Source organism: Homo sapiens, chromosome 6 (genome assembly GCF_000001405.40).
Source record: "Homo sapiens chromosome 6, GRCh38.p14 Primary Assembly".
Lineage (NCBI taxonomy): Eukaryota > Metazoa > Chordata > Mammalia > Primates > Hominidae > Homo > Homo sapiens.
This window is the reverse complement of record NC_000006.12, coordinates 4,765,484-4,788,092: the sequence shown is the minus strand read 5'-3', so window position 1 is coordinate 4,788,092 and position 22,609 is coordinate 4,765,484. Positions and strand designations below refer to the sequence as shown.

The following is a 22,609-nucleotide window of genomic DNA, read 5'->3' as shown; positions in this document are numbered from 1 at the left end:
TGACTATAAGACTCGAATTTCGACCAGGTGCGGTGGCTCACACCTATAATCCCAGCACTTTGCAAGGCCAAGGTGGGCAGATCAGTTGAGGTCAGGAGTTCGAGACCAGCCTGGCCAAAATGGTGAATCCTTGTCTCTACTAAAAATACAAAAATTAGCCAGGCGTGGTGGCGCACACCTGTAGTCCCAGCCACTGGAGAGGCAGAGGCAGGAGAATTACTTGAACTGGGAGGCAGAGGTTGCAGTGAGCCGAGATCGTGCCATTGCCCTCCAGCCTGGGCAACAGAGCGAGACTCTGTCTCCCAAAAAAAAAAAAAAAAAAAAAAAGACTTGAATTTCAGAGCAGCCTGTCCGCACCTCCACCTGCATGTCTTTGGTCTCCTTCTCTCCCAGCTGCCTTTCTGTCAAAGGTGAGGGGGCAGCGTTGCCATGAAGCTGCCCAGCTCAGACCCACGATTTCTTTTCTGTTGACTTTCGTTAGGTTCCTGGGCAAGCTGAATGTGTCTGGTCTCAGCACTGAACTTCTGCCAAGGTATGAGCACGCACTTCCACAGGACCTCATTTCCATGATCTTTTCAACATACTCTATACAGTCACTGCAGCCTCTTCATTTTTAAGCAGCCCCAATCTAGAGCTACTTAGGAAGGACTGAGGAATGCACATTTAGATATGTATCTATCAACCGAATCAAGATTTTTTCAAAAAGCTCATTTACGAGCAGAAACCAGTGGTGTCGCAGGATGGCGTGCCAAATGATTCTGGGGAAACTCTGACTCTGACTCGTCTAGGTGCACTCTGAAGGAAGGGCACAACGAATCAGTCTAGTTAGCACCTCCCTCAAACACACACTCCTACTTCTTTGCATCCCTAAAGGTGCTAATAAAATAATCACTCGCCTCTTGCTTTAAGTTCAAAAGCTCATCTGCATATGAGAGAGAAGTTAGAGGACTAAGAATCCCAGAAGTCTGTCCTGCTGGGAGAGTTGGCTACACTCTACCTCACGTGCCTGGGGTGTAAGACAGTTGAGAACTTCCCTCTGGACTGTGCAGATGAAAAGCCAGGTAACACAAACACAAGTGGGCAGCCATTCTTCTACTTCCCAGGCCAGAGCTCTGCAGGGCCACCAGCAAGTGCAGAAGCCAGGGTCAAGAATCAGGACAGGAGGAGTGAAGCCTCAACTCGAGGGACCTGGCAGATGGCTGAAAATCAGGTTAGAGGGACACAGCTGGACATGCAGACAATAACACTCAGGAAAGAGGGAGGAGAAAAAGGGTGGAAACTTCCTGGAAGACATGGAGTTCTCCAAGGGTACTTTGGTCTAGCCCATAGACAGAGAGGAGTTATGAAGCAGATTGGTCCTCATTCCAACAGGGACCCTACAAATGCTCCCACAACCAGCTCAAGGCAACAGCACAGTCACTTTTTTAAAGTACAGAGAATAAACAGCGAGACTCGAGATAAAAACTACTAGTGCACCTTCTCTTGAACCCCTAGCAGTAAGATGACTGCAGACAGAAAACAAGTATTTTTAATCTTTATTGGTTAAAAACAATTACTAAAACAAACTTTTTAAATTTTTTTTGAACTACTTAATTCAAATCTTATTTACATTTCACCAGATCAGCTAATGCCTCCTTTACCCGGCATCATTATGGAAGGTAACACAGTCCGTCTCTGCTTCTGAAGCCAGAGTACACACACACAGCAAGAGACCAAGGGCACACAGGGCCACTAATCCACAGCTCAGCTTCCTGAAACATCAGCCTAAATCAAGGATCTCTGGAGAAGAGCTCCTTGGTAAATATGTTTAAAATATTTCATATTGAATCCCAAAAATTGTATGGACTACATGGTTAATATCATAAAACATGTAAGGTAACTTGAGATTTCAAACAACAGGTCAGGCTTGCAAAGGCCATTTCCTCCTCCCTCCCACCTCCACCTCCTTAGGAGAATTCCTGCTGACTCCTCTGCCGTCTGGAGAACTTGGGTGGAAATGACCATAAAATTTATGTTTAAGTTTACCATAAAAGTAGACTTAATTTTTTCGCTTACACTTACATAGCAACACTTTTTAAAAACTCTTCTTGATAGCTCTTTGCAACATATGCCTTTTCTTTCATAAGCATGCCCTTCACTTGCTCTAAGGGGCGCAGGACTGGCCCCACGGAGCCTGTCACCTCAAGACTTGGAGTGCCATCACCAGCTACCCTCTTCAGCGAACTTCATGAACAAACTTATTAACGTCAATTCACCTGCCTCTGGCAGAGCCTTTTCCTTTACCAAATAACCTGTTTCTAACATGCTAAAGGTGCCAGTCAAGTCCAAGTACATAATGCCTAAAGGAAATGTCAACAGTCTCCAAGAGAGACCCAGAGCTGTTGTCCAGTGTGCATGGGGTGGTGCATCTTTTTGCAAACTAAGATGACTTTTTTTGTCCTGGTTCTGAGATACACTAAAGAGCTGGGATATCCACATTAGTTACATGCTATTAATAAAATAAGAAAAGCTTCTGTGTGCAACTATGTGATGCCTTGAATTCCTAAACAGTAAACTACTAATGAAAAATGGGTACAAGTGAAAAACGGATACATTTTAACCAAAGAACATTCATGATGTGCAGTCAACATTGTTGGGTTTTAACAACAAACACTAGGAAGCTACCAACAAAGAAAACTTCACATAGCAGAGAGCCTACTACAAATGGAAATAAGACAAAAAGTAAATAAAAGACATTCTCTAGATATATTGAAGCTAACCTCTCCACAAAAAAGAAAGTATACTATACGGTCACACGTTGCTTAACTACAGTGATATGTTCTCAGAAATGCGTTGTTAGGCAATTTCACTGCTGTGCGAACCTCACAGAGTGAACTTACACAAACATCAATGTTGTAGCCTACTACACACCTAGGCTGTATGGTAGAGCCTATTGCTTCCAGGCTACAGACCTGTACAGATGTTACTGTACTGAACACTGTAGGCAATTTTAACACAATAGTGAGGACTTGTGTATTAGTCCATTCTCACATTGCTAATAAAGACATACCCGAGACCGGGTAATTTATAAAGGAAACGAGTTTAATTAACTCAGTTCCACATGGCTGGGGGGGCCTCACAATCATGGAGGAAGGTGAATGAGGAGCAAGGTCACACGTTACATGGTGGCAGGCAAGAGAGCTTGTGCAGGGGAACTCCTTTTTATCAAACCATGAGATCTCATGAGACTCACTATCAGGAGAACAGCAAGGGAAAGATCCACCCCACGATTCAACTACCTCCCACAGGGTCCCTCCCATGGTACGTGGGAATTATGGGAGCTACAATTCCAAATGAGATCTGGGTGAGGACACAGCCAAACCATATCAACTTGTGTATCTAAACATAGAAAAGGTACAGTAAAAATGTGGTATTATAATCTTACGGGACCACCATCGTAAGACCAAAGTATCATTATGTGGTACAAGACTATATATCAAGGCATGCCGAACAAAGACATTGAACATTTTGCTTCAGAAGCAATTGCGTTATAACTATTATAATCCATTTTCATAAACAGTCCTCTTGAAAACTACTGTTTTGCATTTTCAATATCATCAGGTAAATCTCAAGTGTTGGTTCAAAGCCTCAATCCCTGCTCATGTCACAAATTCCAAATCAAGAAGGTTTCTTCAGATTCTGGCAATAAAGCAAACATGACTCCAAAGGGCCCTCTCATTACAAATTAACTAGATCTTTAATAAAATATAACTCTCATTAACAGTGATACCATATAGCAATTGTAGGAAACAAGGAAAATATCCCAGCTGCCTCAGTAACTGCCCCCAACCCAAAATAATGACTAAATCATAAAATGGACAAACACCAAAGACTTAAAAAACGAATTGCAGATTAGGTAAAAACTCCCCAGAATATTTCGAAGTAAAAAATGTAATTATTGAAAATTAAAACTCAATGGTTGAATAAAACAGCAGATTAAACACAGCTCATTAGTGAACTATAGTTTAGATCCAAGGAAATAGCTAAAATGCAGCACATAAAAAGAAAACAAAACACAAACAAGGAGATGGAAATGAAAAGGTAAAAGACAAAGAAGAGAGAATGAAATGATCTGATAGATGTCTACTTGGAATTCCTGACGAGTACAGAGAAGGAGTATTTGAAGACAAACTGGCCAAATCCATTTTCGAGCTGATGAGGCACAAATCCAAAAAGCAGCACAACATATACCCACCTAACTAATAAAAAATCACACAAAATACATTGTCGTATTAAACAAGAGGAAACCAAAGTCAAAGAGATGATCTCAAGAACAACCAGAGACAGAAGACAGATCTCCTATAAAGTGACTGCACCTATGCTGACAACAGTCTTGGCCAGGTGCAGTGTGGCTCACACCTGTAATCCAAGCACTCTGGGAGGCTGAGGCGGGTGGATCACTTGATGTCAGGAGTTCGAGACTAGCCTGACCAACATGGTGAAACCCCATCTCTACTAAAAATACAAAAAATAGCCAGGCATGGTGGTGCATGCCCATAATCCCAGCTACTTGAAAGGCTGAGGCAGGAGAATCACTTGAACCAGTGAGGCAGAGGCTACAGTAAGCCAAGATCATGCCACTGCACTCCAGCCTGGGCGACAAGAGTGAAACGCCACCTCAAAAAAAAAAAAAAAAGTCTCAAGAATAGTGCAAAGGCAAGGCAGAAGACAATGGAGCACCATCTTCAGAAGGAGCTGAAAGAAATTAACCAATTAACTGGTTTTATTTGAAATACTATTCTCTTTCAAAAAATGATGGCAAAATAAAGACATGTCCAGATAATAATAATTAAAAAAAAAAAACCTAGAAACTTTTCCATCCATAGTCCCTCACTAAAGAAATCTCTAAAGGATACACTTAAGAAAAAAAAAAATCCCAGAAGGAAGTTCTGAGATAGAAGATGGACGATCTGATTGAAGAAACTATGAAGTCAGAGGTGAATCTAAAGAAAGGTTGTATAAAATAATAATGTTCTATTTGATGAGGGATTTTTTCATGGGCAATAAGAAAGCAGTAGCATGTGAGTTCAGGAATGCACCAGGGTTCAAGGAATGTAAAATCTTTACATTGTCAGAAGTGCCATTAAATACTGACTATCTTTAGACATCATGTATGCATAGCTGCAAAATTAGCCACTTAAAGACTAGAAATAGCATACAACTTCTAAACCCAATCAGTGAGGTTTTAATATGGTTTTACTGTAATTTGTGGCAGAGGACAGTTCAACAAAAATAATGTCAAAGTGGTCCGTGGAGGGCAGCCACAGATAAGTCTTAGTTCAAAGGTCTCGATGCAGTTTTTAATACTTGCTTTGGGTCCTATATCCCTCTGAGAATCAGATGAAAGCTCTTGATTCTCTCCCTCTGAAATATGCTCATATGTACTTGTTTAAATTTTCATAAAATTCTATTTGAGGTTATAATTGGATTTAAAGTCATATCTAGACTCATAATAGGCCCTCCCCAGACTTCCTAGAGAACGTGAACCCCAAAACCTTGCCCAGCTTAAAAGGCTGAAGAGAATTAAGTTTGTGTGGGAAACAGTGAAATTCTCCATTCTAGAGTTGAAACCATGTAAGCAGATGAGGAACTAAGAGTAAAAAGAACAGCAAGAGGCATAATGCTTAGGGGAGGAGGAACCTCGAGGTAAGTAAGGAGTCAGGAATGGAGATTCATTCCTGTAATTCACTCTTCCATTAAAGTAACTCAACAATTATGCAACGATTGCAGTATTTTGAGCTGTGGAAAATAATGACCAGAAAATGAATCTGAGCTTTAAAGCACTTACATTCTGGTGGACAAACATGCCAGGCAATAAAGACAGAAAACAGAAATTACAACGCCCTTAGCTAACTACCTGATGTTTTTAATATTCCCTTCCTGGAATTACTCAGTTAACAACCAGCAGTGGTCAAGGAGCCTGCAGAAAGAACCAGTCTGGTCCACCGAGAGCTCCTCTTCCGCCAGGCAGATCCCCAACCCACCCCCACCCACCTCCACGCAGAGCCTAAGGGTCTGAAACACAGAAGGGCGTATCCAGAGGCTCCTAAATCCACCTGCATTCCAAAAAGAAGCTTCTCGGAACATAAGATTCCTGTCTCCATCCAAACATTGAAAATTATAATCTCGTGGTTTGGGTTCAAGAATCTGAATTGAAAAAAGACCCCAGGCTGGTCCTGTTCCACCTAGGAGTGCTCACAATATAAAAACTATCACTCCTTATTTACAAAAGAATTCATTTGAGGCCTGGCTTTGTGAATCACAGTTATCCAAAACTGTGAACCAGAACAATGCGAAGAAAGTGTTGCCTACATACCATGAAAATATTCTCCGTGGTTAAAATCATTATAGAGCACGAGGGAACAGTCTATGATTCTTAGATATCACAGCAAGAATGAAAAAAACGCTATTCTGGTACACAGGAATTGAAAGTAGTTCAAAGGAAGAGCACATGAGAGGTCTCCACACTGCTGCTGGGGCAAATGAATAAATAATATTCTCAGCAACTCACAGGAAAAAGAGCATTTAAGATAGGCTATTATTGTCAAAACACACATGCATGTTTGACCTCACTGCCTCACTATCAACTCCTGAAGTCAAATGAACTCTTTTTCTTTACTAATTTTGGTGATTCCAATCTTTTCAGACAGCTACACCATATACAACATACGCTGACCTAGCTTGGCCAACATCCATGAAAGGTGTCCTGGTCTCTGTGACTTCCATTTGAACTACAGATTGAGACTTTATTCACAACTGCTTTTGGTCAATGTAAGTAAAAGCCTTGTGGTGCACAGGAGAGAGCAGGAATCTTATCGCAAAGTAGGAAGAAAGATTCAAAAGACCTACCTTCCCCTGCAAATCCTGATCATCCTGTCAAACTAATCAACTTTAAAACAATTTTTTACACACCAGATACGATTTCATTCTTAAAAGCTTACTTCCATTTTTGAAAATGAAAACATAAATATTCTCTCAGAAGGTCAAGACTAATCATTGAGAGCTTACTGAAATTTGAATTAACTATTACAGGAGTTCTCAAGGGAATAACTCCACATCTACTGAGGAAAAAAGGAATTATTAAGACATACAAATAAAGAGAATACTTATTCCATTTTACTACAGCATACGTTCCTTATTCAGTCCCACGTGAACAAAGTCTCATGGTGGTTACTTGACTGCTAAATAAATTAAGGTCCTCTTGACCTCACAGCTTTCTCTGGTGATATAATCAGTTTATAGAATACTTTCAAATCCTAAATCTTGAGGAAGGGAAAACAGGTTTGGTTTCATGGTTTGAGAGTTGGATGGGTTTTTTTTCCTCTTTAAAAATGGAAAACGTTTTGTAGAATTGCTTTTACACGCTAATGCCATTTAAGCCTCAATTATTTGGTTATCATCCTCCTATTTTACTGATGAGAAAGTTTAGGATAGTTAAGACAAGTACAAGATGAGTTACTTAACAAGCTTCTAAGAACAAGGGAAGGCCGGGTGCAGTGACTCATGCCTGTAATCCCAGCACTTTGGGAGGCCAAGGTGGGCGGATCACTTGAGACCAGGAGTTTGAGACCAGCCTGGCCCACAAGGTGAAACCCTGTCTCTACTAAAAATACAAAACATTAGCCGGGGCGGGGGCGGGGGCGGGGGGGGGGGGGCGTAGGCGGGGGTGGTGCACGTCTGTAATCCCAGCCACTCAGGAGGCTGAGGCATGAGAATAGCTTTGAACCCGGGAGGCAGAGGTTGTAGTGAGCTGACAACATGAAGCCACTGCACATCAGCCTGGGAGATAGAGCAAGACTCTTGAAAAAAAAAAAGAGAAAGAAAGAAAGGAAAGGAAGGAGGAAAGGAGGGAGGATTACCACCCAGATCTTCCAGCTCTAAGTCTAGAGCTGGGATGAAAGTTAGAAATACCGTCTAACTTCCATACATCCCCAACCCTTGAGTAAACCCAGATTCCTAAACAGACTATGACAGTTGATCACCTACAGCAGGGCTTAACAAACAACAACCTACAGGGCAAAGCCAGCCCACTGCCTATTTTTGTGGAACCTACAAGTTAGGAATCATTTTTACATTTGTAAGTGATTGGAAAAAAAACACAAATGTGTATTTCATGACACATAAAATGATATGAAATATACTAAGTGAATTTTACTATCCATAAGCAGTTTGAGACACAGCGCACATTCATATAGGAGTCTACGACTGCTTTTGCACTACATGAGGTGAGCTGAGTGGTTGCAACAAAGACCATAATATAACCCACAAGTCTAAAATATGTATTATCTGGCCCTTTACATTAGAAGCGTGATGTAAAGGACGCTTGTCTTTTTGTGAAAACTATGAAGTTCTAACCTACGCCGCATCAAAAATCCGTTTTTCCTCAATCCTAGCAGCTGGAAAAGTAGGGAGTAAATCTATTCCATCCTTCAACTAATAGTAACTCTTCAAATTTTGCAAGGTTCATGCTCTACCCATCTTTTCCAGGATCTGTTCCTTTATTTTTTGTTCACAAAGCCTAGTTTCAATAGCCATTTAAACATTTACTAAAGACCTATTACTACATACCAGGTTCCATGCTAAGTATTGGAGACATTTCTTTTAGGCGAGAAAACCAAGGCTCAGCAGTTGGGTAACTCACCCAAGTTCCCAGTTACTGCAGACCTGTCCTCCTACCAGACCATGTGAGTTCAAAGAAGCAAGACTTCACATTTCCTCCTGTCAATATATCCCTCTAGATTTGTGGAGCCTGAGGCCAAACAGAAAACTTCTATTTCAGTTTAGGCAGAACTGGACAAAACAAGGCAACTAACAACCCTTGACTTGGCCACAAAACATCATCTTAGTGTCTTTCCCAGCCTTGTCAGACTATCGCGTTCATTTACAATTGCGTATCACTTCTGCCCTACAGATAATACTGCCTTTATGAAAACAATACAACTCTATACCTTTAGAAACAAAACCAGGTTTCAGGGAGGCATTTTAAGCCAGTTACCATACAATCATCATCACTTACTGGGTGCTTGCCATGGGAATTTTAGGGTGGGCTTTACATATGTTCTCATGTAAACTTCATAGCTCTATAAGGGAAACACTGATCCCAATTTCACAGATGAGGAAACTGAGCTTTCAAGGCTAATTTACCCAAGGTGATAGAGTTGGAAGTCACTAACTGGGTTGTCTGACTCCAAATCTAGGCTCTCAACTGCCATGCAAAACTTTCAATGTCAACTTTCAATGGTAACATAGTCACAGTGTTGCCTACAAGTAAAAGAAAAGTTACAAATTTTGCCTTGAAAGATACTGACCACTACATATTTACTACACATACTTAAATTTATCACCTGAACTATACTTCTATAATACCTTTTTTTCCAAAACTAAAATAAAACTCAGAATCAAAAGTTCAATTGTGCAGGTGTATCATTTATTTGCAATATACTTACTTCCTCCCCAACAGACACTCCTTGAAAGCATGAACCATTCTCACACCTCAGTATTTCCCCATGAAACCTCCATATGGCAAGCATTCAATAAACGTTAAATGAACACAAACTTAGTACAAAATGTTACTCATTAATAACTTCTGTTAGGAACAGAAACCTGAAGATATAGAATAAGCACAGAAGGAACTAAACTTAGTTCATAATATACTAATGGGAAATGTGCTGTCTTCAGAATCATTCTTACACACATAGGATACAACTTACGTATAAGGTGCTACTCTCATCCACTGATGGAACTGATTATGTAATCATACTCATAAAAGCAAATGCCAAGAGTGAACACTCATGACTAAACAACCAAAGAATGATCTAATGTAGAAACTAAAATCCCCCATACCCTCATGCTATGTACTTCCCCCTGTACAGACTTCACCTGGAAGACCTCAACCTCAAACATCCTAGCCTCCATTTCTGTGTCTTCCAGACACACAACACTTTCCTTCCTAGAAGGAAAGCTCCTGAGAACAGGGAGATTTTTCTTCTTTTACATCCCCAAATGACCTAAAATAGTATCCTGAATACAGCGGGGCACAGCTAATGTGTAAAATGGTTGAAAAGAATGGAACATTTTCAGTACCAGCTAAGGTATACTGACCACATACAATGTAAGGAGAAGCAACAACCTTACCCTTAATTCTACAGATGGCAGCTTCCTCCTGAGAACTTCTGCAAACACTTGCTCTTAAAAAGCAACAAAAAAGTTGCTAGAAGACTAACATCGCAGACAACAAAGCTCTATTCTATGCCAACAGCAATAATACGCCCATAAGAGAAGACAACTGAAAGGATCCCTGGGGCCACAGGGCTCTACTTGTTACAGATGCTTCCTTAAGTCCCTCAACACCCAGGTCCCTAAACGCATCATAAAGGTGAGTCTAGAGAGTCTTCGCAAGTTTTAAGTCTCTTAGGAACTTATTTATAAATACATGTGAAACAAGAGAATCATTTATCCAGAAGAACAGAAAGCCTTCCAAACTTCTGTACTCCCAGGAAGTCTACTTTGAAATACGTCAAAAGAAGTTACATGGAGACATACAAAACATGTCTAAAGATCCAAATTGGTAACTCTCAAACTTGAAGCTGGTTTAAACCCATCGACCAGAACTTACAGTTCTGGCTATGCCCTTCTCATTTGCAACGCTGCGGCGCAAATGAATGACGGTGTATCAGCGTTAAATTTAAATTTCCTGGCTCTGGCCACAATGCTAACCTAATTAAAGCATGTGGTCAACGTTTAGCATTTTCGGTGCGAGATTTTGCATCGCTTTGGCGAACAGCAAAGTCGAAAGCGTTTGCACCGGTCTTCTCCCCGCCACCCCCCGACCAGGGGCAAAACCCTCTCCCAAATGCTTTATCAAATGATCCAGAAACCCCCCCACACCCCACCCCCCGTACCGCCCACGGTCCCCGCCGAGCGGCAACGGAGGCACCACTTCCACGACCCACGCCAAGAGCACTTTGAGCTCAGTCCGAGCAAGTCACTTGTGTCAGCACCACTTCCCCACGGCTGGGACCCCCCCCCCCACCCCACGCCCGGCAACTTCAGGACCCCCCGGCCGGGGCCCCTCGGAACGGAGGCTCGGGCTCCCCTCACACACATTTCCCGTCCAGCAAACTGCGGCCGCGGCGGGGGAGGGGACGCGGCGGGCGCGGGCGGCGAGCGGGGCCGTCGGGCGGCGCGGCCGGGCCGGGAGGGGCGGCGGGCGGGGGGCGGCCCGAGGCCGGGGGGAGGGGAGGTACCTCGTACAGCTCCTCGGAAGCCATGGTGGGCGGCGGAGTTGCGGGCGGGAGGGGCAGGGTCGGGGCGGGCGCCGGCGCCGGGCGGCCGACACTTTGTTTCAGTTGGGTCCTGCGTGGCCTGCGCTTCCTGCTCCCGCGGCCGGCCGGGCGCTGGGCACGGACGAGCCTCTTGCACTCCGCGGCCAGTGCGGGCCGGCGGCGCGGCGGGGTTGTGCGCAGGAGCAGCTACGCAACGCGCCCTGGGCGCCCCGCGCTCACTCCCCGGCGGGCCGGCTCGCGCTCGGGCTCATCGCGCCCCGCCGCGGGGCCGGGCGGGCTGGGGCGGGCGCGGCGGCGTGCGGGCGGCGCGGCCGGATCGCGGCTCCCCTCTCCGGTGTAGTGCAGAAAGCTTCCTACTTGCGACCAAAAAACCTGCCCCGGCTACTGAGCATGCCCAGTGCGGCCGCCCGGCCCTGCGGAGCCGCGCTCCCGCGCTCCGGGTTTTCGGGCCGCCCGCGCGGGAGGGGCGGGGCGGCGGCGGGGCGGGGCAGCCGAGGGGAGCAGTGGGCTCCGCTCGGGGCCGAGGCGGGCGGCCGGCGGGGCCGGGAGCGAGCCGGCAGGAAGGGGAGGAGCGGGGCAGTCGGGGGCGGGGCCGCGAGCGCGGGGGGCGGGGTGGTGGGCGGGGCTCCGACTTCCCCAGTCCCGCTTGCGGGGTCGGCCTGGCCCGCGGCACCGCCCCCCAGCCCGCCTCGACGTGGGCGCTTGCGGCCCGGCCCAGGGCAGGCGGGACCTGGACCTCGAGGTTCGAGGCGCAGCGCGGTTGTGCACACCAGGACGGGCAGCGACGGACCCGAGATGGGGCAGGGAACCATGCGAGCGAGCCGGCCCGCGTCTGGAGCCCACCGCCCCGACGGCAGCGGCCGCGCCGTCTACCGCGCGCCTCCCTCCAGGAGGAGCCCAAGAGGCGGCCTCCGTGCGCCCGCCCGTCCGGGGCCGGGCCAGCCCGCGAAGGGCCGGCGGCGTGGCCAGGTGGAGCACCCACCCCACCCCATGCCCGCCCCACCGGCCGCCGCCAAGACCCGGAGCCCGGGCCGCGCGCCCCGCGGGGTGGCCCGGCGAGCTCCGGCTGGCACGCTGGCTCCGCGGCAGGCCGGGGGTGGGATCCGGGGGGCGGGAGCCGGGCGCGGCGGAGGGCGGCGCGAGGGCGCGGCTGCCTCCGCTCTGCCCGCAGCTCCCCCCACGCCAGGCCTCTGGGTTCCTCTCGGAGCGTCCGCCTCCTCCGAAGCGCAGCTGGGAAGGGACCGAGTCTGGATTCCAGGGAGGTCCGGGTTCTAATCGAACGAGGCTGTCAATGGTGGTTCCTTTCGCGGAACGGTGTGGACTACACGACAGGCCCTCGCTCAGAACAGCGAGGGCTGGCCCGCGCTCCACTTCCCAGGGAAGATCTACTGCCAGGGCACACCTGCCGGGCCCTGGACGTGCCCCATCGGTGGCGAAAGAAGGGGCTTCCTGACCCAACTCCCCCAGACAGCCGCCAACTCCGATCACTCTGGCCGAGTATGCGGAACTTCCCCACGGGGCACTGCAGAGGCATTAGTTCACCCTCTCCCCCAGGCCCTGCATCGGGAAGCCCTCGCCAGTTCCTCCATGTCTCCCCGGGCATCCTTCGGGCCGCCTCACTCCTCCGTGCTCCATCTCGCTCCAGTTCCTAACCTACCTTGGAGCCACAAGGCTCCTCCCACCAGTTTTCTTCCTAAAGCCCTATTCGTTTGTGCCCCCCAACAGCGTTTCAACAACCACGGGGCGTCTCACAGACCCCGCGGTTTCCTGTCCTCCCCACGCCCAGGAACAAGCACCACGCCAACCCTTAAGTCACTGCGAGTCGAATCGCCGTTCCCCTTAAGCGGTGCTTCTACCTGCGGTCCCCACCGTTTGAAACAAACTCCCAGCTCAGGGATCACCTTAAAAGGATAGCCTTCCTGACTTCCAGGGCCAAATCGGTAACTCCCTCTTCAAGCGCTGCCTAAGCACTCACGCGTGCTCACTGCAGCACTCGTCTCTGTATTTTAAGGTTTGTCTACTCTTCACCCCACCCCAACTCCAAACGATGACCTTCAGTCAGACTTCATCTTCAAATTTGACGCTGGCCCCTAGCACCATTCTCTATACAGGAAATAAGGTGTTGTTCAATGAATGGAATTTCAGTGTCCACGAGAAAGCCCAATACCTACACATCCAATTCCCATTATCAAATGTTTGCACAAGAATCGCAAATTAAAGCCACCACTTCATCAACTGGTCAAGGCGCCTCAAGCTCTGCCTCTTTCCCTGATGGCCCAGCCAATTCCCTCTCCCTCCTCCAAACAGCGCCTCTTTCCTCTCACTTAGCATTTCCATTATATGCTGCATTTCATTGTTGCCTTCTCTCTAGGTTTACCAATTTATCAACAAAAGTTGTAAGTTCCTTGAAGGCAAGGACTAGGATTTTATACATTTGGGAAATCTCAAAGCATTGAGTGCACACTTCGGCAAGCGCTCAAATACTGGCAGGTGATAGTTTAAAATCCCTCAAGAAAAATCAACTGTAAAAAAGAGATCCTCAATAGGAAATAGATACATATAACATATAAGCCTATTATGCAATGATGGACCAATACAAATACAAGCACTTCTCGCCATGACCATTACTCCAATTATTGCCCCCTTCAGAACATCCACAAGCTTAGGCATTCACAAGGGGCTCCACCATGTGCGTAATGGTACTGTGGTCTCCAAGGAGTCTCCAAAACTGCCATTGTTGCCCAGGAGAGGGAAAGAAAGGAACATAGACATCCACAACAAACATATCCAGATATTGAGCTAGTAAGGCGATTTTCCCCATTGTGGAAACAAAAAGGGGAAGAATTATAGCCTCAAAAAGGCAACTCAAAAATGTCAATTTACATAGACCTTTGTCAATTTACGTAGCTTTTCAATCTTGACAATCTGGAATGTTTATGCTGCTATCCTTAGTCTACAACATTAAGAGTAACCACCAGTAGCCTCTAAAACAAAGCAGGAGTGAGCCATACTCCTAAGTTCCAACCACCTCTCCACTCTGACAGTTGGCTTCCACTGGCGAAGGAGATGGGTATCCACCTAGCGACTGAGAAATTGAGGAAGTTCTCAATTGTCCACTTTGTTCCTTTCATCTGCCCTCCATTTAAAACTCACTGATTTATGGAATGCTATTTTGCTTATATATACATATATATTTTAACCTCATTCGTTCAATTTGTCTTACTTTTAAGCAAACTTTGCTTTCCTCCGTCACTTTTTTATATAAACATTTTACCAGCACTCATAGCAGAAGTAAATATGCCCAAGATTATTTAATGACTTGGAATTTCCACCACCTTTTATGAAACAGTGAAGTTCTGTAGTTTCCATGACCACGTGTGTGGGTGCTATTATTTTCTCAGTGGCTTAAGAATAAAAGTGAAATCACATCCCCTAAGCACACCGGGAAGATTGCAGCAAAAATACATACAGCACAATACCATGCACTAGTAAGACATATGACTCTTAAAAGATTAGAGAAGTGGTCAACAAGAGAGACGATATACACACATGATTAAAAGACACGTCTACCAGCAATAAACGATTCTTACCTGACCTGCTCCCGTTGTTGTAGGCCAACATAATTCAATTCTCTCCTCCTCAAATCCAAACAATTGATCATCGATGGCAAGTTCTACCGACGATAAGACTCTTCAGATCAAGAATCACAGCCTCTTCCCATCTCGGGAGAATGATAACTAAAACCTGAAATCTGAGATCCTCCTCTTTTCCCAATCACCAGCCAAACCAGGCATGTCTTCCTTTCTCCCAAGAATCTGCATTTCATCTACATTTGAATCCAAAGGCATCCAAGGGGAGATGGGGGATGGGACAGAAAAAAACAAAAGAAGCCAAAATCTAGCTACTACTATTCTCAGAGCCAAAGGCGTTTTATGGTTGGGTAGCTGTGAAAAGCTACTGATAATGATTCCCTTCAACAGTTTTGTACCCCCAAAGCATATTCTATCCTGGTTACCTCCTCCATAACCCAAAATTTAATTGTGATTTTTATGAAGATGCGACCTAAGTTTGTTGGTTTTAAACCCACAGTGGCTGAAGGGAAATTAAATGCCGTTCTTGTCATAGAGTATCTACTCCAGAAAACTTGGTGGAATTTCCATCTCAATCACCCACTCAAAAGAAAGAACATTTTAAACCTGAGACCCAAAAGAAAGAAGCATACAGAACCATTTATAAGATTAATTCAGATGTTAGGGGCCTTGTCTGAACTGGGAGCCAACCAGTTCTTCCTTCCCTAAAAGCTTAGAGTGGATACCAGTACCTTTTTCTGGTCAACCAATAACAGCTGATTCCTTTTTTCAGTCACTGTTGCCTTCCCTGCCCAAACAGTCAGTTTCCCCATTTCGAGGGGCAGCCTCTCCCTGCCGCCCTCCATGTTGGTCCCAGGTAGGTACCATTTCTCTCTTTCATATAGAAGCCAGTAGCCAGCTGCCACACTGCTGCTCCTTGGCCAGATATCACTAGTTGTTTCATCTCTTTGCCCTCGTGATGCCAATTCTGAGACCTCTTAACATTTGATTTCACCAATTTCATCTTAGGCTGTGATACCATCACTGGCCGGAGCTCATCAATCTACAATTAAGGATCATTTGCTTTTTCAACTAGATTTAGTGTTTAAGTACGGTTCCTTTTTCTATTTAGCTAATGGTGTTCTACCAAGAGAATCCTTGTAATATGTACTTGTTGAACTTTTTTTGATTAAAGTAATGAGCAAGAGCAAGGAAGTTTTTCATTGATAATTTTATACATTACCCCATTTTTGGAAAGCAAAAAGACCAAAAATCATAAAGAGGAAATAGGCACAGGTATTCCCATAATTTTGGTTGACTTTATGCCAAGGCAGTAACTAACTCATTTTGGATCCCTGGAAAAAAACAGCAAGTACTGTTTAACTTTCCCTTGAATTATTGTGATGATTAATTGCATTTGTCTCTCAAGTCAGACCATCCCAGTATCGTCTTTACCTTTCCATTTCTAGACAGAGAGAGAAAGAGAGAGAGAGAACAACTAGGCAAGAGATGAGTGTGGACATTTTGACTGGTAAGGAAAATAGAAACACAAGACCCACCAGAAGTGGGGGAACCCAGAATTATCCCAGGAGCAGGTGGATGTTGAATCTAAAGCAAAGTGTAAATGAGTTGGAAGATTGGGGCCAGACCAGCACTTGGAGGCGCTTAGTGGGGCTTGATTTTTTTTCAATCACTAGTATTGTCTAGTGTAGAAGTTCTCAAAGTGTGGTTCCCCAAACTAGCAGCAACGGCATCACCTTGGGACTTGTTCAAAGTGCAAACACTCAGCTGGACGTGGTGGCTGACGCCTGTAATCCCAAAACTTTAGGAGGCCAAGGCAGGTGGATCACCTGAGCTCAGGAGTTCCAGACCAGCCTGGCCAACATGGTGAAACCCCATCTCCACTAAAAATACAAAAATTAGCCGGGTGTGGTGGCATGTGCTTGTAATCCCAGCCACTCGGGAGGCTGAGGCAAGAGGATCACTTGAACCCGGGAGGCAGAGGTTGCAAGGACCCGAGATAGCACCACTGCACTCCAGCCTGGATGGCAGAGCAAGACTCCATCCCCCCCGCCAAAAAAAAAAGTGCAAATTCTCTTACCCTCTCACCTACTGGAACTAGAAACAGTATTAGAGAGCATCCATCACTTTACTAGGAATGACCATTGTGTAGTAAAATTTTGTTTCCATTATACATATACACAAATATTTAGGCATGTATATATATGCTTATATATGCACGCACATATATTATTGTGTACTAAGTCATAATGTAAAATGTATTTCTTACATTTTGAGCTAGGGCAAGAAGTTTAAAAGCCAATGTTTTGAAACCAGGTAACAAACCCCTGCAAAGGTGGATTGTTAATTATCTATGAATGATATTGCTGTAGTGCACAGCAATTTTCTTAAATGATTTAATGATTCCTTTTTTGTAGTACACATTACTTCTCCATAACTACTACAGAAGTGTTCAGATCACGTTCCTTTCTGAATTACACATATCCCAGAGTGATATATTTTGAACGAATCAGAATAGTATGCATTTTAGGCCTTATCTTTCCACACAATGTAGAAGATTTTCCAAAGAATATCCCTAACAGACTAAACAAAATGAATGTGAAGTTTAATTTGGTCAACAGCAACATTAAAAAAATAATAAATAAACACAAACAAGAAGCACTTACCCTGTTCCAGGAACTGTTCTAAGCACTTTACAAATATTAAGCTATTTAATTCAGCAAGCACCTAATAAAAATCATAGCTAACATTTACAAAGAACCGTAATAAGTAAGCACATTCGTCCACAAAGCGCCTTTGGAGTGGGCATTTTTATTGACCCCATTCCTAGTAAGTGGGGAAGCTAAACTTCATCAGGTCCAGGTAACACTAGGGTCTAAGTTTTGAATCATTAAGTTATAGTCACTCAATAAATACTTATTGACCATTTATTGTATGCCAGGCACCTTGCTACTCAATGTACATACAATCATCCCTGCTCTCACGTAGCTGGCAATCTATTAGGATAGATAGACATTAAGTTGTCAGGAAAAAAAAAATGTTGGCCCGGCGCCATGGCTCACGCCTGTAATCCCAGCACTTTGGAAGGCCAAGGCTGGTGGATCACGAGGTCAAGAGATTGAGACCATATCCTGGCTAACATGGTGAAACCCCATCTCTTCTAAAAATACACACACACACACACACACACACACACACACACACACACACACAAATTAGCCGGGCGTGGTGGCGGTCGCCTGTAGTCCCCGCTACTTGGGAGGCTGAGGCAGGAGAATGGCGTGAACCCTGGAGGCGGAGCTTGCAGTGAGCCGAGATCGCGCCACTGCACTCCAGCCTGGGCAACAGAGCGAGACTCCGTCTCAAAAAACAAAAACAAAAACAAAACAACAACAAAAAAGTCTTAACTACCAATCAAAGAAAATGGCAGGAAGCTGTTGAGCCCAGGCCACCTAGAGATGAGTCTGGTTTGCTGCTTCCCCAGAGACAGTGCCCAGCACCCCGTGGGCACACTGGACATGCTTGGGTACCAGCAAAGCAGAATCATTGAAAAATTATTTTCAAATAATTTGATATTTTAAAACTAAGTAGCCATCATGCGAGAGATCAACATTTTGACTTTTACGCAATTGCTTTACATTTAGCATTTTAAAAAATGAAATACTAGATATGCAAAAAGGCATAAAGAAAAATACAACAAGGCCTATGTACCCACTCCCCAGCTTAAGCAAAATATGATTTCCGTATTCAGACCAATACTTGGCAGACTTTTAAATAATTTATGAGAAGTAGGAGGGATACCATATTCTATTCACTATTTAGAGGTTATTTAGTTGTTGATGTTTTTCATACAGATTTAGATTTTAACAGATTTAGATTTATAGAAAAATTGCATATATAGTAGAGAGTTCCCATACCCAGTTTTCCCCATTACATTTAGTCAGGTATACATGGCACAATTAGTGAACCAATATTGATACAGTATTATTAACTAAAATACACGCTTTATTCAGATTTCCCTAGTTTTTACCTAATTTTCTTTTTTCTGCCCCGGGATCCCATCTGTGACGCCGCATTACCTCTATTAATAGTTCTCCTGTCTCCTTACGCTTCTCTTGGCTATGGCAGTTTCTTAGGCTTTTCTTGTTTTTGATGACCTTGACAGTTTTGAAGAGTACATTTTGTGAAACGTTTGCAGAATGTCCTCAACTGGAATTTGTCTGATATTTGTCTCATGATATGATTTGACTGGGCTTTTGTGTTTGGGGGAGGAAGACCACAGAGGTAAAATGCCATTCTCATCACATTGTATCAAGGATACCTACGATCAACATGACTTCACTGCTGATGTTGACCTTGATCACCTAGCAAATACAGTGCTTGTCAGATTTCTGCACTGAAAACTTACTGTTCTCCACTCCCAGCCCCTGTCCCTTTCCATACTGTAGTGTTTGGAAGGGAGTCACTTTGAGCAGCCCACACTTAAGAAATGAGGATTATGTTTCCCCTCGAGGGCAGAGTGTCTACAAAAAGTATCTACAATTCTTCTGCATAGGAGATTTCTCTCTTCTCCCCCACTTATTAATTTATTCATTTTTTATATCAATTGAGACTCATGGATTATTTTATACCCTGGATTATAATCCATAATGCATTATTTATTTCCTTGATCAGATTCTCTAGCTTTGGCCACCGGGAGCTCTTTCAGTTGACTTCTGTGCATCTTTGACATACTCTCATCATGAGGCGGTGTATATTTTGATCACTTCCTTACTTTCTGGCATTGTAAGATGCTGCAGGCTCATCTTGTATATTTTCTGCTCCAGTCCTAGAATCAACCATTTCTCCAAGGAGCCTTGGTTCCTCTTTGTTGAAAAATCATATTAGAAAGCAAGTTCTGGGTGTTAGATGTGTTTATTGTGACTGAGGCTATTCCCTATTTGTGATTAGGTTGTCCCTGAACTAGCGAGCTAAAATCTAAAGGATGAATTAGGTGAAGAGGGCATTGGAAATGGTCCCAGGCTTAGGAAAGGGCTTTTTCCAAAGGCCTAGATGTGGAAGTTGCATGACACCTTTGAGACTCTGAAAATGCTGGTGAAGCCAGAATGCAGACAACAGGAAGGGAGACATAAGATGGGATGGAGAGGCAGGCAAATCTGGTAGCTCATGACCAGGTCCTGGGTCTCTTCATCAATAATCTGACTTATATTTTTTAAAAGTTTGGCTCTATGAAGAGAAAGTGGTTGGAGGAGAGTGGTTAGGGAATTATTGCAATATTGCATTAAATTTGATGTTTTTACATTTTGTTTAGATATCAAATCATTTCAAAATAAAGTTTTGGTGGACCTGCTTCGCTGATGCCAACTGCATATGCAGCATGCCTATAAAGTGAGGGACACTGCACTTAGGACCTCCAATATGACATTGAGTAAAGTGGATACCAGGTCTTGATTTTTATTACAGAGGGAAAGCTTTTACCATTAGGGATGATATTTGCTGAAGGAATTTTGTAGGCCTATTTAATTAGATTAAGGCAGTTCCTTTCCATCCTAGTTTCCCTCTGCTCCCCTCCCCTCCCCTCCCCTCATCTCGCCTCTCCTCTCCTCTCGAGGGTGTCTTACTCTGTCACCCAGGCTGGAGTGCAGTGGCACAATCTCAGCTCACTGCAACCTCCACCTCCTGGGTTCAAACGATTCTCCCGCCTCAGCCTCCCAAGTAGCTGGGATTATAGGCGCACGCCACCACGCCTGGGTAATTTTTGTATTTCTGGTAGTGATGGGGTTTCACCATGTTGGGCAGGCTGGTCTCAAACTCCTGAGCTCGTGATCCACCTGCCTCAGCCTCCCGAAGTGCTAGGGTTACAGGTGTGAGCCACTGCGCCCAGTCTCCATCCTAGTTTTCTAAACTTTTTTTTTTTTTATCATGAATGAATATTGAATTTTGTCATCTACTGAAATGATCAAATGATTTTATTCCTTCATTTTGTAAATGCATTGACATATTTATTTTTAATTTTAAGCCAAATTTCTTTTTCTGGAATAAACCAAATAAAGTTTTTATGCATTATCCTTTTCATAAATGGCTAAATTTGGTGTGCTAATAATATGTTTAGGATTTTGAATCTATGTTCATGAGGAAGATTCACCTGAAATTTTTCTTTCTTGTTAATTTTTTTTTTAGACAGGGTCTCACTTTGTCACCCAGGCTGGAGTACAGTGGTAAGATCTTGTGTACTGCAGCCTCAACCTTCTGGGCTCAAGTGATCTTCCCACATCAGCTCCCCCCAAGTAGCTGAGACTACCGGTGAACGCCACCATGCCCGGCCAACTTTTTTTTTGTGGAGAACAGGGTTTCACCAGATTGCCCAGGCTGGTCTCGAGCTCCTGAACTCAAATGATCTGCCAACCTCAGCCTCCCAAAGGCTAGGATTACAGGTGTGAGCCACTGTGCCCGGCCTCTTGTCAGATTTTAATATCAAGGTTATGGAGATCTCATAAAATAAGTTGTCATGTACTTCCTCTTTTCCAATTTTTAGTTTGTGTATGAATGCCATTATTTCTTCTTTTGATACCTGTATGCATTTGCTTATAAAGCCACCTGGGTCTGGAGCATTCTTACTGGAAGACTTTAAATTATAGATTCAAATTCTTTAATAAAGAAATATTCAGGGCCGGGCGCCATGGCTCACACCTGTAATCCCAGAACTTTGGGAGGCTGAGGCAGGTGGATCACCTGAGGTCGGGAGATCGAGACCATCCTGGCTAACATGGTGAAACCCTGTCTCTACTAAAAATACAAAAAATTAGCCAGGCATGGTGGCACATGCCTGTAATCCCAGCTACTCAGGAGGCTGAGGCAGGAGAATCACTTGAACCCAGGAGGTGGAGGTTGCAGTGAGCCAAGATCATGCCATTGCACTCCAGCCTGGGCAACAAGAGTGAAACTCCATCTCAAAAGGAAAAAACAAACAAACAAAAAAGGAATATTCAGGATTTCTATTTCTTTCTGTGTCAATTTGTCCATTTCATCTAAATTTTCAAAGTTAATAACATAAAATTGTTCATAAAATTTTAGTATTTGTAGGATCTCTAATAATATTCCCATTTTAATTATTGAAAATACGTATCATTTCTCTCCTTGTTCTTTATCAGTCCTGCCATGGGTATATTAATTTATTAGTCTTCTGAAAATACCAATTTTGAGCTTTTTTGGTTCTTTGTATGGTATGTCTACTCTATTTAATTACACTTCTATCATTATTATTTCCTTTGTTTTATTTGTTATTCATTTTCTAATTTCTTAAGATGACTTTGTTCAACAGGCATGGTGGCTCATGCCTGTAATCCCAGCACTTTGGGAGGCCAAGGTGGGTGGATCACCCGAGGTCAGGAGTTCGAGACCAGCCTGGCCAACATGGCAAAACCCCATCTGTGCTAAAAATACAAAAATTAGCCGGGTGTGGTGGCATGCACTTGTAGTCCCAGCTACATGGGAGGCCGAGGCAAGAGAATCACTTGAACCTGGAAGGCAGAGGTTGCAGAGAGCTGAGATTGTGCCACTGCACTCCAGCCTGCGCGACAGAGCAAGACTCTGTATCAAAAAAAAAAAAACGGGAAACAAAAAAGATGACTTTGTTCATTGATCTTCAGTCTTCTTTTCAAATGTATGAATTAAAACCTATAAATTCCCCTGCAT

At 44.3% G+C, this 22,609-nt stretch overlaps 1 protein-coding gene and 1 long non-coding RNA gene across 5 annotated transcripts in view, besides 6 other annotated features; one reads left to right on the top strand and one right to left on the bottom strand.

Moving 5' to 3' along the window:
* CDYL (chromodomain Y like) overlaps positions 1–22,609 on the bottom strand; it is a 249,407-nt gene that overhangs the window by 167,452 nt on the left and 59,346 nt on the right. For 3 of the 4 annotated variants that reach the window (NM_004824.4, NM_001368126.1, NM_001368127.1), the window contains exon 1: positions 11,286–11,689. The exons of the other annotated variant lie outside the window; for it this stretch is intronic. In NM_004824.4, coding sequence (NP_004815.3) covers positions 11,286–11,309 — 24 coding nt within the window. In that variant the 5' untranslated portion in view covers positions 11,310–11,689. Of the gene's footprint in view, positions 1–11,285; positions 11,690–22,609 lie in introns of those variants that run through there. 4 annotated transcript variants of the gene reach the window in all.
* Positions 620–1,148: an enhancer, noted in NCBI's record as "NANOG hESC enhancer chr6:4787179-4787707 (GRCh37/hg19 assembly coordinates)". NCBI's record gives its function as "activates a minimal SCP1, AML or CMV promoter by ChIP-STARR-seq in naive H9 embryonic stem cells {active_cell/tissue: H9 hESC(naive)}" and the evidence as "EXISTENCE:reporter gene assay evidence [ECO:0000049][PMID:30033119]".
* Positions 11,338–11,887: a silencer, noted in NCBI's record as "silent region_16862". NCBI's record gives its function as "represses an Ori minimal core promoter by ATAC-STARR-seq in GM12878 lymphoblastoid cells {active_cell/tissue: GM12878}" and the evidence as "EXISTENCE:reporter gene assay evidence [ECO:0000049][PMID:35858748]".
* Positions 11,908–12,537: a silencer, noted in NCBI's record as "silent region_16861". NCBI's record gives its function as "represses an Ori minimal core promoter by ATAC-STARR-seq in GM12878 lymphoblastoid cells {active_cell/tissue: GM12878}" and the evidence as "EXISTENCE:reporter gene assay evidence [ECO:0000049][PMID:35858748]".
* Positions 11,908–12,998: a biological region, named in NCBI's record as "H3K27ac hESC enhancer GRCh37_chr6:4775329-4775982".
* Positions 12,345–12,998: an enhancer, noted in NCBI's record as "H3K27ac hESC enhancer chr6:4775329-4775982 (GRCh37/hg19 assembly coordinates)". NCBI's record gives its function as "activates a minimal SCP1, AML or CMV promoter by ChIP-STARR-seq in primed H9 embryonic stem cells {active_cell/tissue: H9 hESC(primed)}" and the evidence as "EXISTENCE:reporter gene assay evidence [ECO:0000049][PMID:30033119]".
* On the top strand, positions 12,667–13,567 carry CDYL-AS1 (CDYL antisense RNA 1). The gene is made up of 2 exons (NR_183279.1): positions 12,667–12,821; positions 13,336–13,567. It is a non-coding gene; the product is annotated as a CDYL antisense RNA 1 (long non-coding RNA).
* Positions 14,923–15,474: an enhancer, noted in NCBI's record as "OCT4-NANOG-H3K27ac hESC enhancer chr6:4772853-4773404 (GRCh37/hg19 assembly coordinates)". NCBI's record gives its function as "activates a minimal SCP1, AML or CMV promoter by ChIP-STARR-seq in primed H9 embryonic stem cells {active_cell/tissue: H9 hESC(primed)}" and the evidence as "EXISTENCE:reporter gene assay evidence [ECO:0000049][PMID:30033119]".